The following is a 15,217-nucleotide window of genomic DNA, read 5'->3' as shown; positions in this document are numbered from 1 at the left end:
TAGAGGCAACTTCCGGTACAGCCCCGCCGAGAGCGTGAACTATCGCTGCGGAGGGGCAGACCTGGACCGGTGGAAGGCCGGGCGGAAGTGCGCGCCTGGGGCCGCCTTGGTTACCGCGTTTTCCGCTCCTCGCTACGTCATCGTTGTGAGCCCGCTATCAGCGGCCAGCGCGGGCGCGGCCGGAGACCGTGGGGCCCCCGGTTGCCGCCCCCTCGGGTAAGGCCCTCTGCTTCTCACTCTTCGGCCCTTTTTCTCATAGCCGTTTCTCTGTTCTTCCTCTTTGCGTTGCTCTGCGGGCGCTACGCTGGCTCCACCGCCTTCTCTGCCGTTCAAACCCCGCGGTTGTCCTTACCCTAGCGAGGGTAGGGGGGTCGGGTGCCATCGTCTTTCCGACGGAGTGGATATTTGTCCCTCCTTGAACCACATGGTACCTAAAGGTGCTGGTGTCTGTGATCCCTGGAGACAGGAGGGAATGCTGGATGATCCCGACCAGCGGGAGCTTGGACAGCAGCCTGGTTTAAGCAAGGGGTAGGGAAAGCCAAAGACAAGAGTAGGCAGACCTGAAGGGGTGGGGTTGGGTACAGTGTGGACGGCGTGTGAACCCCGGGTGGTAACAGTGGAGAAAGATGTCTTGGGCCCTGCCCCTGAACTAGGAGCCACCATGTTGGTGATACCCCCCGGACTGAGCGAGGAAGAGGAGGCTCTGCAGAAGAAATTCAACAAGCTCAAGAAAAAGGTGAGGGACTGTGTGTGGACATGGCCTAACCTTTCACAGACTCTGCACTCTGAGAAGATATGGGGTGAGTGTGAGCGAATGGGGAAGTTTTTCTGGCCCATACCTAGAGACATATCACCTCACAGTGTAGCTTCGAGAGGTGGGCTTTCCCAAGCCTTGGTGTGGACCTTCTGTCTTTTCTATGCAATTTGCCATGGATTGTCTTCCTTTCCCATGGCTTTTAGTACCGCTTAAGAGCTGATGATCCCCAAGTTTGTTTTTTCCAGTTCTATCCAGTGTTATACTGAAAAACTTCAGATACTCAGTGTTGAAGCTATCATCTTTCTATTCTTGATCTTCCAAATAAGATTGACTACACCAATTCTGCCACATGTTTGGACTCAAAACTCTGACTTCCCCACTATTTGCATAGTCAAACCTTTGCCAAGTCTTATTGTTTCTTCTTTTGAAGTAATTTTTCCTGTTTATTCTTCACTGTGCATTCCCCCGAGCAGGGCTTTATTGACATTCATGTGGGCCATTGTAATGGTCTCTCAACAAATTTCTCAGTCTTTTTTTTTGAACAGACTTCTTCACTCCTGTTCAAATGATCCATTGAAAACACAAAATTCTGCTCCCTCTGTTTCTCAAAAACCATAAATGGCTTCACATTGTCTATAAAAAAGCCTCAAAACCTTAGTTTGGCAGCCTTGTCTAGTAAAGTAGAACTATTCACTACTTCCAAAAGATGCATTCCCAAAGCCTTCTTATCTCTGCATCTTTGCCACCCTGTTTTCTTTTTCTAAAATACCCTTCTCCTCTCTGTGTTGTGCAGAGATACGGGAGAGGGCCTAGTTTAATAGCCATTAAACATCAGAAAATCTTACTAGCTTTCAGCTATGAATAATCTGCACCTCTTATAATTGTATTGCTAACTCAATGTATTTTATTTCTCAGACTGTAAGCTTCTTGAGGGTAGGAACAATGCATTAGCCTCCTGGATATCCCTGTTACGAAGTCATGGCTGGGCCTCATTCAATATGCAGGAAATAGATGGATGAAGCTTCCAGGAAAGGCACATAAACTTATACTTACTTGCAGCTTATATCCTAGGATTCTAGTCCATGATTGAGTTATTTGTCTTCAACTTCAAAAATGTAACACTCTGGAAAACCTCTGGGTTCCGTGGTTTGGTTAGATTAGGAATTTCCAGCATCATACATGATCTAGGGGACCAGAGGCAAGAGGCAGAGCACATCAGTGTACCACTCTGAGGGCATCAAGAAAGACGGTCCCTGGAGTGATGTGCCCAGGGGCCTTAGGAGAGGAACCGGCTAGGGGCTGGCCCTCACTTACCTCTCTCTTCTCACCCTTGTTCCCAGAAAAAGGCATTGCTGGCTCTGAAGAAGCAAAGTAGCAGCAGCACAACCAGCCAAGGTGGTGTCAAACGCTGTGAGTGACAGGGGAAATGGGGATGGACTGGAAGTGGGCAGCATGGAGCTGACCTTCATCATGGCTTGGCCAACATAATGCCTCTTCCCCTTGTCTCTCCAGCACTATCAGAGCAGCCTGTCATGGACACAGCCACAGCAACAGAGCAGGCAAAGCAGCTGGTGAAGTCAGGAGCCATCAGTGCCATCAAGGCTGAGACCAAGAACTCAGGCTTCAAGCGTTCTCGAACCCTTGAGGGGAAGTTAAAGGTGAGCACAAGCAGAAAGATTGTTTAAAGGGCATCCCTCCAAGTTGGAATGTAGATGGGTTTGGGGAAAAATATGCATACTCAAGCACTGGCAAATTGCTGTACCATTCTGAGTTTCACCTCTCATGTATAAAATGAAAAAACTAGACGACTCCTGAATTCTCCATTTTACAAATTCTGTGGTTCTAATCCACCTTGGATTGGAGCTCTTGGAATATGTTGCCCTAAGGGATGGAAAGGGCTGAAAATGTTATCAGGTTCAAGAGAGGTTCAAATAAACTGAATACATAATATATCGAGTCACTTATAAAAAATACCAGCTGGGCGTGGTGGCTCATGCCTGTAATCCCAGCACTTTGGGAGGCTGAGGTGGGCAGATCACTTGAGATTAGGAGTTTAAGACCAACCTGGCCAACATGGTAAAACCCCGTCTCTACTAAAAATACAAAAATCAGCAGGGTGTGAGGCCGGGCGCGGTGGCTCACACCTGTAATCCCAGCACTTTGGGAGGCCGAGGCAGGCGGATCACGAGGTCAGGAGATCGAGACCATCCTGGCTAACAAGGTGAAACCCCATCTCTACTAAAAATACAAAAATTAGCCGGGCGTGGTGGCGGGCGCCTGTAGTCCCAGCTACTTGGGAGGCTGAGGCAGGAGAATTGCTTGAACCCAGGAGGCGGAGCTTGCAGTGAGTCGAGATTGTGCCACTGCACTCCAGCCTGGGTGACAGCGAGACTCCGTCTCAAAAAAAAAAAAAATTAGCAGAATGTGGTGGTGCACACTTATAGTCCCAGTTACTGAGGAGGCTGAGGCCAGAGAATCACTTGAACCCAGGAGGCAGAGGTTGCAGTGAGTGGAGATCACACCACTGCACTCCAGCCTGGACGACAGAGCAAGATTCTGTCTCAAAAACAAAACAAAACAAGCCACAATGGCAGGTGCGGCAATGGCTCATTCCTGGTTAATTTCAGCACTTTAGGAGGCCGAGGTAGGAGGATTGCTTGAGCCCAGGAGTTTGAGACCAGCCCTGGCAACATAGTGAAACCCTATCTCTACAAAAAAAAAAAAAAATACAGAAATTAGCCAAGCATGGTAGAGCACATCTCTAGTCCCAGCTACTAGGGAGGCTGAGGTAGGAGGATTGCTTGAGCATGGGAGGTCAAGGCTGCAGCAAGCTACGATTGCTCTATTGCACTCCAGCCTGGACAACAGAGCAGGACCGTGTCTCAAAAAAAAAAAAAAAAAATAAGTAAAACCACGTCAAATAAGAAATGTATGTAGAATTAAAAGGGAAGAAAAGATCAGAGGAAACCTAGAAGAGGGTGAGGGAAGAGGAACACCTCTGGTCCATGGTTGGGCAACCTCCTGCTCCACACTGAGGTAGGTCTCTCACCACTCCAGGACCCCGAGAAGGGACCAGTCCCCACTTTCCAGCCGTTCCAGAGGAGCATATCTGCTGATGATGACCTGCAAGAGGTAAAGGCTCCTAATTTCTGTCCCTGAGGGGTTGGGGATGGAGGAATATGAGAGACAAATATATTTTGGACCACATGTCAGCAACTGGAAATCATCTTAACTGTTCTTGGTCTCTTTTACAGTCATCCAGACGTCCCCAGAGGAAATCTCTGTATGAGAGGTTAGAGAGTAGAGATAAGGCTGGGCCCATTTGGTGGAGTTGATTGCCTGAGTCCTTGGGAGGTTTGGGCTGTAGGAGCTGGGCTATAGAGGGAATATTGAGTCTCCACAGGGTCTGAGGGGAGAAGGTAAAACCCCCCTTTGATCTTCAGTCTGCATCTCCCCAGCTTTGTGTCTTCTAGTGATCGACTTCGAGAACTAGGACCAGATGGAGAAGAGGCAGAGGGCCCAGGGGCTGGTGATGGTCCCCCTCGAAGCTTTGACTGGGGCTATGAAGAACGCAGTGGTGCCCACTCCTCAGCCTCCCCTCCCCGAAGCCGCAGCCGGGACCGCAGCCATGAGAGGAACCGGGACAGAGACCGAGATCGGGAGCGGGATCGAGACCGGGATCGAGACAGAGACAGAGAGCGGGACAGGGATCGGGATCGGGATCGAGATCGAGACCGGGAACGGGACAGGGATCGGGAGCGGGATCGAGACCGAGACCGAGAGGGTCCTTTCCGCAGTGAGTGATTTTGGCTGGAGGTCAAGGTGACCTTAACTGAGGTTTATGTGGGTCCTACTAAGTGAAATGTGGCATGGTCTATGTCTTGTGACTATGATTTGTGCTCCCAAAGGGTCGGATTCATTCCCTGAACGGCGAGCCCCTAGGAAAGGGAATACTCTCTATGTATATGGAGAAGACATGACACCCACCCTTCTCCGTGGGGCCTTCTCTCCTTTTGGAAACATCATTGACCTCTCCATGGACCCACCCAGAAAGTAAGGATGACAACAGGGCATGATGAGAAGTCCTGGGAGAATCCTGGGGTGTGAGACCTGAGGGAAGAAGCTGCCCTCCCTGCAGCCGCCTATTATCACTGGGTTTGGTTGGGTCCAGAAGAGCCCCTTGGCTCTCCACTGACCGTGTTTTCTCTTATCCCAGCTGTGCCTTCGTCACCTATGAAAAGATGGAGTCAGCAGATCAGGCCGTTGCTGAGGTTGGAACTTCCCAAATCTGTTCTTCCCATCGCTTCTGCTGTTCTCATGTGTTCTCCTCAAAATACTAGATGCCAGGAAGAAGTTGGTTCCTCTTGATAAAGAAAGCCTCTCCCTATTCACACAGAAAAACTCACATTCTCAGATTCCTTATTCAGTCTCCTCCTAGGATAGCAACTCCTGGAATAACTTCTTTGGTTTATCTGTAATGTTTTCCTCCCCATCCTCTGCCTCCCCTCTTCTGCTTCAGCTCAACGGGACCCAGGTGGAGTCTGTACAGCTCAAAGTCAACATAGCCCGAAAACAGCCCATGCTGGATGCCGCTACTGGCAAGTCTGTCTGGGGCTCCCTCGGTAAGAATGGGATTCTTCCTTTCCCATCCTCTCCCCCACAGGCCATTCCTTTTGGTTCCCCCACACATCCTTGGGTTTCCTAGAGATGATCGAGGTCAGAGTGTGTGCGGAGGCTATGGGAATGGGAAGGAAAATTTCAGATCCTCTGTCAGTTAGAGGTAAAGAAAGGAGAGAAAAGGATTGAAAACAGCTTCCAAAGCAGTGACTGGAACAGGGAAGAAAGTGGGAGCTGGAGTGAGATTGGTGAGGAAGATGAGTGTCTCATGGGGCTTGTTCATTTTGAGATGGAGTAGAGTGAGTTTCATAAGTATTCGAAATCAGGGATCTGGAACTCAGGTGTGAGGTAAGGAAGGAAAACATAGATTAAGTCATCCACATCACAGGGTGGCTGCCAAACAATAGGATCATCAGGGAGACTCTGATTTCAGAGAAAAAAAAACGACCCAGGACTCAGTTTGAGGAGTACTCTGGGACTATGTTAGGAAACAGGACTGTTCACCTCACACCCCACATGTCCCCAGCTGTCCTGACATGTTAGGCTAACGTTGAGCCTAACGTTAGCAAAGGAGACAGGAGGAGGGGTCGGAGGGCTGGGAGCAGCACCGCAGGGGCCTGGGCCACTGAAGCAAAAGGACACACACTTTGAGAAAGAGGGAGTAGCCAGCAGTGTTGAGGCACAGAGATCACAGGATGGGAGTGGGTGAGAGAGATTCTCTGTAGCTCAAGGGTGGTGGGGATGGAACCATTGGATGGGGTGAAGAGAGTAACATGTCTGGTGGAGGGAGGAAAGAGGAAGGGGAAGAAACAGCTAGAGGCTTGAGAGAGAATGGTGAGGGCCAAAGCTACACCCTGAATGAGTTCTGGTGGAGCTAGTAGCATTTCTTAGTGTGAATAATCCATTTTCCCTGAAAGTAGATTTTCCTGGGAAAGGAGTGAGCAGAAAGAAGGGCTCAGCTACAGTGGCCCTTCAGGCAAAAGAAAGGAACTAGAATTGACCAGCATGTCAAAAAAGGGCTACAGAGGTTTTCTAGTTTTTAGCTTCTGACATACTGACTGTAAGTAGTGGGTTAATATCATTCACGTGTCTCAACAATGACATTTGGGATTTTTCTAAGAACAAAACATTCATCAAAATGTCCACTTATACTTTTCTTGGCCATGGGTTGGCACAAAGGAGCTAAGGAAGACAGGCCATCCTGGCCACCAGAGGGCAGCGTGGAAACTGGGCTTCCAGGGGCCAGTGGCCAGGAGTGAGGTGGTCAGGAGTCAGCCTCAGGGTCTGTTCTATGATCTCCTTTAGACCTTAACTGTTCCTCTCCTCCCTCCCTAGCTGTCCAGAACAGCCCTAAGGGTTGCCACCGGGACAAGAGGACCCAGATTGTCTACAGTGATGACGTCTACAAGGAAAACCTTGTGGATGGCTTCTAGGGAACAGAGCTGGATTCCTTGTGCCTCATATGCCCCAATGCTGGTCTCAGTAAAACACTGAGGTGGAAGCTTACACATCTCCCTCAGCCTCTGGTTTTTCAGCACTTGGGATTGGGGTTAAACCTTTAAAAACGGCTGTCAGGTTTGATCTCAGTGTAACAACATGGCCAGTGCCTGTTCCCCACTCCCTTGCCCCAAAAGGATCTGGAACACAGGTGTTGTCGCAGCTGTTTTAATTCAATCCCACGCCCCTGTCCAGCAGGAAACCCCTTATAGAAAACCCAAATCCTCATCTTGGAGTTTCTCCTTCAGCCAGGGCAGCACTTGAAAGAGGTTGATGTGAAAGTCTCGGGCGTGAGCAGGTACCTGCTTTTGCCGCTTCTGGTTTTTGCAGACATCCACTACTCCCCAGCTGATTACACCAACCTGCAGAGGCAGTGGGGTGCCATGGATCATTCAGTAGAATTCCTAATCCTGGAAGCATGGCTGTTCCTGCTTGTGTCTTAGCTGACCTAAAGGAATCAGACTAGGGACCCAGCTCAGCCTCGTTCTTGACACACGCAGGCAAGACATGCGGTCCTAAGGTGAGGCAGGCTCTGCCTACCTCGAATTACTAGCCACATGCATTGAGCTTTCCTGCTTTGGGGCCCATGCTGACCACTTGGCATCTCCCCAGATAGGAAAGGGAGGACTCACTTGAATGAAACGACTTCTCTTGTGAACTATCAAGGGGCCGCCAGAATCACCTGCAAGGAGAGGAGAAGCTGTAGAGAAAAGGACTGTTGGGCCTTGGGCACTTGTAGCACAACCAAAGAGCATTCTCTCACCTCTGCAAGTATTGGGGTCAGCATAGGGACTCACTCCTCCAGTACAAAGGAACCGAGGGGTGACCACCTCTGAGATGTCCTTGACTTTGTCATAGCCTGGGGCATATTGAGCATCTCTCTCACAGCTGCCTTTCTGTAGGGGAGGTGGGAAGCATGGAGAAGTAATGAACAGAAGTGGCTTAGGAAGGATTGGGGCCTAGAGTGCCTCCTTAGGATGCCCGTTTCTCACCTTATCCCCATTCTTGATGTAGACCTCCTTCCGAGTCAGCTTTTTCTCCTCCTCAGACACAAACAGAGCTTTGATATCCTGTGCAGGGAGCAGCTCTTCCTCTGGACGAATAGACTGCGTCACTTCAGCTGCTCCCACCACTGTCATCTCCCCATTGCCTTTGTCACTCAGTAGATGTCCCCTAAGCCCTTCTAGAGCTAGGTTCTGGGCCAGGCATCATCTCTTCCTATTGCACCTCCCTCTCATGCCCCACTTGTCTCTTGGGATCTCATCCTTATCCTCTTGCCAAGTATGTCTTACTTTGTTGCTGGCAAGTGGTAGTTGGAGGAAGCCTCAAAGCTCGAGTTGTTCCCTCGGTGCAGGGGAGACAAATGGGCCTATAAAGGACAAGGAGAACAGCAAACCAGGCCTGCTCCTCACCCCAGTCCTCCAGCCTTTCCCAGCCTTTCCTCAGGGATCTGGACGCTCTCACCTGATAGTCTGGCCATATTTCAGCTTATTCTTGAGCTTGATCAGGGCAACGTCATAGTCATAAAATTCAGGAATTCCTGCTTCTTTTTTCCCATTAATGTTGTAGTTGGGGTGAAATAGGACTACTTCTATCTCCAGGTCCCGCTTCTCCCCTCCTGAAGTAGGAGAGTAGGTACCACCTCTTTGTGGGCAGCTTCCTGCCTCTGGCCCCGTGTCATTCCTAACTTCACGTCTTCCCCCATCCCTGACTGGTCTGGGGTGCAAGGAATGGGGCTGCATTGAGGATGGGTGGAGTGTAGGATCTGTAGAAAGTGGGAGGTGTTGCCTGGAGAGCATAGGTGCAGCCCAGGACCTTCAGTTGCATCCTTACCTACGCTGACCTTGATTGAGTGTTCCTTGTCATCCACAGTGAAACAATGTGCTGCTGTCAGCACAAAGTACTCAGACACCACAGCCCCCATACAGCTCTCGTGTCCCTTTGAAGGGCGCTGGGGACACAACAGTAGAGAGGGAAAGCTCAACTTTCACAAACCACCATCTCTTATGGCCATTTTTTCCTTCCCCTACTCCCATTTCACCTTGACCTCACCTCCCCCAAGTCCCCACTACTGGGATTCTGTGCTTACAATGACTGAGATCTTGGCCTGCCATGGTTGCTTGTGGTAATCGGTACCCTTCCTGTGTTCCCAAACCATGCCACAGAGACTCAGAGACTGGCTTTCATCTGGCAGAGAAGGAGAATGTGCTGAAAACTCGGAACACTTCATTCCCAAATGGCAGCAGCCTTTTGGGTAGGAGTCTATGGGGAGCAAAGGCCCAAAAGGAGAAAGGGAAAGACCACGGGTATTTGTTTCCTCGTGTTAGGAGAAAACTGCTATGGTGGACTGAAAAGGGAAAGAACTTGGGATCAAGCTGTCAGAGGCCTGGCTGTTTTCAAGCCCACCCTTGTTGCTAACTTGCTGTCCCTTGACCTCCTTTGGCTTCTGTTTCCACGTGTCAAATGTAGGACTATAGAAAGATCTCTGAAGTGCTCAGAGCTCTGTGATTCTAAGGTTAAGTGAACAGTGCCAGGAAACAAGAATAGTGACACTGAGGTAGAGAAGGAGGAATGAAGAAGGCTTTCCAGGCAACTAGAGCTTCAGGTGTAGAGGAAGAATGAATTACTTCAGGGGAACCTGAGGAGAGTTGTGTTCTTTATTCCCTTGTATCTCCCTACCGATCATTTGGTAGAAAACATCTTCCAGGTTTTCCATATCCTTGACTTTGAACACATGTTGCTCATTGTCTTTCTTGGAAGCCAAAGCATTGATGTTCACTTGGTTCACCAAAGGCCCGACCCCAAACACATAGACATCTGAGGGATAAAAAGGAAGGATGAGGGTCCAAGCCCTGAGGAAGTGGGGTGCTGGGTCCTAGGCAGGTTACTCACCCAGATAATCCTCCCTTGGGTTTTTGCGATCCTTGCCAATGTATAGCAAGTCCCGGATCTCATCAATGACAGTAATTGGGTCCCCGCCCATGTTGTGCAATCCTGCAGAAGAGACAGGACCATGAGGGTAGGAGATAAGGAAGATAAACTGGCTAAAGGCAGGGATACACATGGCAGGGTGAGCAAGTTGAGGAAGGGTTAGAGATAGTTGATCACAGGGCTTAGGAAGAATTCCTTATGAAGGGTCACAGGAGAGATGAACAGCCAGCTATGAGTCACATTCAGGGCCCCAACCATGGGTATAGTGTTACAAGTGGACTTAAGGGCCACATGCTGGTCTGAGAAGGTGGGGAGGCTGGGACAGGAGAGAGGTCCCTTCTGACCATCAGTCATGAGGATGATGACATGGCGGGTGCGGTTCCAGCCTTCAGGAGGGACGTCATCTGGCCAGCTCATCATGCTGTACACTGCCTGGAGGGCCTTCTTGGTGTTAGTCCCTGACTTCAACTTGTGGTCTGTGGAGAGGGAAGAGACCATCACCTCACCTGGTCTTCCAAGCCATCTTTTAACCCCAGAGACCAATCTGCAACTGAAATCCCACATCTTTCAACTTTTTAAGTTAATCATCATTACACGGACTTCCCTTTGACCACAAAGTGGCCCTTCCAGCCCCCAACAGGTTCCCACTAACCTCCATTGCCCAACGATCCTGCTGTTCAACTTTTGACTACAAAGTGGTCCTCCCTGTCGCCCTCAAGGTAGTCTCATGACCCCCTCCACCCTGAACCTCCTGACCCCAAAGTGAACCTCCCACCATTCCCTAACCTCTGACCTTCATAATTGATTTCATTGAGCTGCTTCGTGACCCAGTCTGCATTACTGCTGTCTGCTTCAGACACTTTGACCCAAATTTTGGGGTATGTGGCATATGTCACTAGACCATATCTTGGCTTCACACCATAACTTGCCACCTGTGGGTGAGGAGAACAAGGCGCCATGGCATTGAAAATAGAATACTGTGATTGGGAGATTTCAGCGACTTTGCTGGGACAGGGAGGCTCTCAGTAAGAGGCTCAAGGGCTGAGGTTCATGGAGGAATTACCAGTCAAGAAACTGCTTCAAGTAAAAGGGAAGGAGGACAGAATAGGACCTGGAGATTTTCCTGGGGCCCTGTTGTTCAGAGGGGCTGGAATGATCAGGGAGCTAGTCCTGGAAGATCAGCGAGATTCCATTCCCCCGAGTTCAGGGATAGGAGGATTCCACCTTCTCAATTAAGTTGACTAGACACTTTTTGGCTCCTGTGAAGTTGCTGGCCCCAATGCTGTCTGATCCATCTAGCACCAGGTAGATGTTCATGGAGCCTGAAGGGTCCAGGACGATCTTCCGCTTCTGTTGTTCCCCTGGGTGCCAGGAGAGTGGCTCAGGCTCCAGCATTAACAGTTCTGTCCCTTCTCCATTTTCCCCCAGTTCCCTGCCCTGCCTCCCTTCTCTGTCTTCAAACCTGGGCCGTGCCCATCCTCAGCATCGACTCCTTCTATGGTCTCTGTCAGGGAAGACAGGAAAGCTTCGGCCACCTCTTGAGGGGTGTCGTACATGAAGGAGTCTGGGAGAGTCAGAAATGAGGTCAAATGTCTGGGAGTGTCAGGGATACAGTGACCAAAGAGACGGGGGATCATGGGTTTCCAGGGTATAAAAGGCTCAGAAGTGAGATAGTTGTACAGGGAGGTTTAAACAAAGTGAGGAAAGAGCAGGGTTGAGGTGGGGAGAGAAGACAGTAGGATGGAAGACCAGGATCTGACCTGGGGGTACAGGTCAAAGGTCACCTTGGCAGGAAGGCTCCGTCCCGCTCCAAGAGCCACCTTCCTGACACGTTCGCCGCTGGGAGCCACGCAGGGTAAGCCCCCGGCTGCAGTGGTAGGTGACGCTGTCTTCAAGGCGGTACTGGCTGCCCACCTTCCTTGTGCCAATGGGGATGCCCGGGTTGGAGCAGTACCCCGCTGCAGAGGTATGAGACATCGAGGTAAGCACTGAAGCCTGAGGCCCCGTGAGCAAGGTAGAGAGCAAGAGTTACAGTGTCCGGAGCCGAGTGCCCACTCCTCGGGCTGGGCGCCGTCAGGGAGACAGCAATGTAGGGGGAGGGGATGCTTCTCACCTCCGTTGTCACAGATCGCTGTCTGCCCACTCCATCGGCCATTCACTTGGCAGGTGCGATTGGCAGAGCCCCGGAGAGTGTAACCGTCATAGCAGTGGAAAGAGATCTCATCACTCACATTGTAGTAGGGAGACCGGGGCCAGTATTCCCCGTTCTCGAAGTCGTGTGGTCTTGGACAGTGGATTGCTTTGAGAAGGGGGGACAAGTAGAAGTCATCAAGAGGGAAAGGCTGCCTTAGGTGTATCCCTCCTGGTCTCGGAGACCATGTCACTGAGAAACAGCGCATTCCCAGTCCCGCAGAAGCAGCATCTTACCTACTCCTCAACCCATATGGATTTCCACTGCTTCTCCCTCCCCATTTCTGAGTGTTCTCTTGACTTCCAGGGCTGCCTGGAAGCCCAGGGTAAATGCTTAGTAAGGGTTAACTCCGCTTTTTCTTGCCCCCTTTCCGCCTGCCACCCTAAAACTGCTCCTACTCCCGGTCAGCCCACCTTGTCACCCTGCCTAGTCTCATCCTAGTCCTGACCTTGCTGCCGCCTGCCCTGTTTCTGCCTTAGGCCACTGCCCACACTCATTGCCCTCAAACCTCTGCACTCTGCCTTCCTGACAGTCTTTTGGTCTTGAGTCTTCAGGGTGCTCCAGGACCCCGTAGATCTGCAGGTACGTGTCTGCACAGGGTACGGGTAGAAGCCAGAAGGACACACGTACTCCAGTGCCTGGCCCTCTTGGAGAAGTCGGAAGGAGCCGCCTTTGATCTCTACCCCCTCCAGAGAGCAGGATCCCTGGGGCCGGGCCAAAGACCATGGAGTGGTGGTCACACCTGAAGAGAAAGGCTGATGAAGCCTGGCCCCAAAAGGCCAAGGAGGGATGCTGGAGACAGCAGGAAGGGAAGGTTACCCTCGCTTACCTCCAGACAAGAGGCCCAAGATAAAGGGCATCAGGCAGAGTTGGGGGCTGAGATTGCTCCCCATGGCGTTGGAAGGCAGGAGAGAAGCTGGGCCTGGGGCAGGATGGTGTGTCCTGGCTTGCTTTGCTTGTCTGCTTGGCTCAGTGTCCAAGCTGAAACTCCAGACCTAGACCTGGTCACATTCCCTTCCCCTGCTCCCCACCAGCCCCCAGCCTTTTATACAATCTGTGTTCTGGCACCTGCGGCTCGCCCCGCCTGTCCTACCCACATCACTTTCCCGGAACATCCAAGCGGGAGGGCCCCGCTGAGCTGCCAGTCAAGGAAACAGAAACTGCAGAAGTCCCACCCTTTGCTGCCAAAGGTCCAGGACTCTCCCCTTCAGTACCTCCTCTCCGGCCTTAGCTCCTCCCCAGTAAGCCCAAACCACCCACTTAGGGACCAGAAATAAGGATCCAGCTCACTCCCCTGTTGATTGTGTGTTATGGTGCAGAGTCCAGCCACTGTTTGTCCAGTGGGGTCTCTGACCTGCCTTCCTGTAGCTCTTGGAGTCATTCTGGCCTCCCCCTCCCCCAAGGCCAGCCCTACCTGGCCTCCAGATAGAGGCACTGAGAGATGTGGAAACCATTGATTTTTATTAATTTCATAACTGGGAAATTCCATGTGAAAGTGAAACAAGCATGAGTCAAGTCAACCAGGGAAGGAATCTGGGGACAGGCCAAGGAGCGGGAGGTGGGGCAGCGAGGCAGTCCTGCTGGTAGGAGCCCTGAGGATTTCCCAGCTTGTGTGCGCTGCCTCTGGCATCCTAGAGACCCGGATTTACTCAGCTAGGAGAGAGGATGGATCACAGGGTCTAAGGGTGGCCATTCAGAGGTAGAAGATGGAGGGGCGGCAGATTCTGGCAGGGCAGCAGAGGGCTCAGTGGCCATGGCTAGAGGGGTAAAAAATTCAGGACATCCCCCAGGTGCTGCCTCAGCCAGGGCTGCATGCGGAAGAGATTGATGTGAAAGTCTCGTGGCGGCGGGACCTTGCTACGAGGGGCCCTTTTGCGGGAGTTTTTGTCAGCAGAGCCAAGGCAGGGGTTGTAAAGACCCCAGCTCACCAGACCCACCTGGAGAAAAGGAGAGAACTGGCTGGGAGGCTGCCACAGCCCCAACTGTAAGCCCCAACCTCCCTAGATCCCTCAAAGGCCTCCCTCATCCCCCCAACAAGGCTGAGATCCTGTAACCCCTGGGTCCTGCAAGCTTCTACCTTCTCACCTGAAAAAACCTGAATCTCCGCTCAAGGAAAACTGCTCCCCCAGATTCTCCTGCCAGCAAAGGGTGACAGGAGACAGTGTCATCTAGGGCAGTGGACTGGTGTTCTGGCATGCATGCTGGCCACAGAGACACAGGTGGCCTTCCCCTTGGGAATCCAGGCATGGTGAGGGACTCACCCTTGCAGGGACTCTCATCCTCCTGGGTCCCACTGCATAGGAACTGGTCTGTCACCACCTCCCTGACATCTGTCAAGTTGGGGAACATGGTTTTTTCTTGGGAGACAACCTCGGCACAGCTTGTCCACTGCAGCAGGGGTGGAACCAGAGAGAAGGGTAGAATAAGCAGACCCGGGTGGGTGCAGTGGCTCACGCCTGTAATCTCAGCACTTTGGGAGGTTGAGGCAGGCAGATCACTTGAGGTCAGGAGTTCAAGACCATCCTGGCCAACATGGCGAAATCCCGTCTCTACTAAAAATACAAAAATTAGCTGGTGTGGTGGTGGGCACCTGTAATCTCAGCTACTCGGGAGGCTGAAGTAGGAGAATCGCTTGAACCCAGGAGGCAGAAGTTGCAGTGAGCTGAGGTCGTGCCACTGCACTCCAGCCTGGGAGACAGAGCAAGACTCCATCTCAATAACAACAAAAAAAGAATAAGCAGACCCAGGGACACCTAGCAGGTTTGTGAGGCTTGGGAGGAGGGGTGACCCGCGTCAGAGAGAGAAAGCAGCCAGACCTGGAGAAGGAAGAGAGACATTCTGGGAGCTGTCACAGGGGGATCCCAGCATCCCCAACCTGAGACCCTCACCTCCACTCCCATCTTAAGGTTAATGTTCAGTTTGCTCCCATTCAAGGCGACAAAATGAGCAGGAACACTCTGTTTGTTCAGCAGTTCATTCTCTATAGTCAAGAGAAGGGGATGTTGGTGCTGGTCCTTTTACCCAGAATCCAGGTTCCTGGCTTGGGGACTGCAGCCTAGTCCTTGTTATCACCCCCAAACCCCGGCCCCAGCTCTCAAGCACCATAAGTCCCAGCACTCACCATGGTCCCTACAGGTGCTGCCTTGAGGTCTCCGCAGAGCCAGATTGGCCTCCATCGTGCAGGGAAGGCAGATGGGCCTGGGGAGAAGAGCAAGGGTCACACC

General features: G+C 51.6%; 3 protein-coding genes and 1 non-coding gene across 13 annotated transcripts in view, besides 1 other annotated feature; 2 read left to right on the top strand and 2 right to left on the bottom strand.

The window, feature by feature from the left end:
• On the top strand, positions 137-7,021 carry NELFE (negative elongation factor complex member E). 6 transcript variants are annotated; one of them, XM_006715205.4, is made up of 11 exons: positions 137-216; positions 654-736; positions 2,098-2,167; positions 2,270-2,415; positions 3,815-3,889; positions 4,012-4,049; positions 4,231-4,553; positions 4,666-4,810; positions 4,974-5,028; positions 5,277-5,379; positions 6,710-7,021. In XM_006715205.4, the coding sequence occupies exons 2-11, from the start codon at positions 662-664 to the stop codon at positions 6,805-6,807; spliced, it is 1,128 nt and encodes a 375-aa protein (XP_006715268.1). In that variant the 5' UTR covers positions 137-216; positions 654-661; the 3' UTR covers positions 6,808-7,021. The 6 variants fall into 6 exon arrangements, with proteins under 6 accessions (XP_006715268.1, NP_002895.3, XP_047275312.1 ...); NM_002904.6 differs by having other exon boundaries at positions 4,216-4,553; XM_047419356.1 differs by having other exon boundaries at positions 627-736.
• Positions 2,168-2,269, top strand: MIR1236 (microRNA 1236). The gene has a single exon (NR_031601.1). It is a non-coding gene; the product is annotated as a microRNA 1236 (primary transcript).
• CFB (complement factor B) lies at positions 7,024-13,013 on the bottom strand. Its single transcript, NM_001710.6, has 18 exons — positions 12,823-13,013; positions 12,502-12,735; positions 11,916-12,101; positions 11,587-11,760; positions 11,265-11,366; positions 11,027-11,163; positions 10,596-10,734; positions 10,147-10,278; positions 9,764-9,865; positions 9,551-9,688; positions 8,961-9,058; positions 8,705-8,822; positions 8,336-8,489; positions 8,164-8,240; positions 7,864-7,964; positions 7,635-7,767; positions 7,504-7,553; positions 7,024-7,233 (listed from the first exon to the last, which is right to left on the bottom strand). Exons 1-18 carry the CDS (start codon positions 12,884-12,886, stop codon positions 7,078-7,080), a joined length of 2,295 nt encoding a protein of 764 aa, NP_001701.2. The 5' UTR covers positions 12,887-13,013; the 3' UTR covers positions 7,024-7,077.
• Positions 11,283-11,782: an enhancer, noted in NCBI's record as "H3K4me1 hESC enhancer chr6:31915103-31915602 (GRCh37/hg19 assembly coordinates)". NCBI's record gives its function as "activates a minimal SCP1, AML or CMV promoter by ChIP-STARR-seq in naive H9 embryonic stem cells {active_cell/tissue: H9 hESC(naive)}" and the evidence as "EXISTENCE:reporter gene assay evidence [ECO:0000049][PMID:30033119]".
• The window catches only part of C2 (complement C2), a 47,890-nt gene continuing 46,108 nt past the window's right edge, over positions 13,436-15,217 (bottom strand). For all 5 annotated transcript variants that reach the window (NM_001282457.2, NM_001178063.3, NM_001282458.2 and 2 more), the window contains 5 exons: positions 15,115-15,191; positions 14,882-14,973; positions 14,255-14,381; positions 14,079-14,128; positions 13,436-13,930 (listed from right to left, as the gene is read on the bottom strand). In NM_001282457.2, coding sequence (NP_001269386.1) covers positions 13,751-13,930; positions 14,079-14,128; positions 14,255-14,381; positions 14,882-14,973; positions 15,115-15,191 — 526 coding nt within the window. In that variant the 3' untranslated portion in view covers positions 13,436-13,750. The remainder of the gene's footprint in view (positions 13,931-14,078; positions 14,129-14,254; positions 14,382-14,881; positions 14,974-15,114; positions 15,192-15,217) is intronic.

Source organism: Homo sapiens, chromosome 6 (genome assembly GCF_000001405.40).
Source record: "Homo sapiens chromosome 6, GRCh38.p14 Primary Assembly".
Classification (NCBI taxonomy): domain Eukaryota; kingdom Metazoa; phylum Chordata; class Mammalia; order Primates; family Hominidae; genus Homo; species Homo sapiens.
The sequence above is the reverse complement of the archived record's forward strand: the minus strand, read 5'-3'. Positions and strand labels throughout refer to the sequence as shown.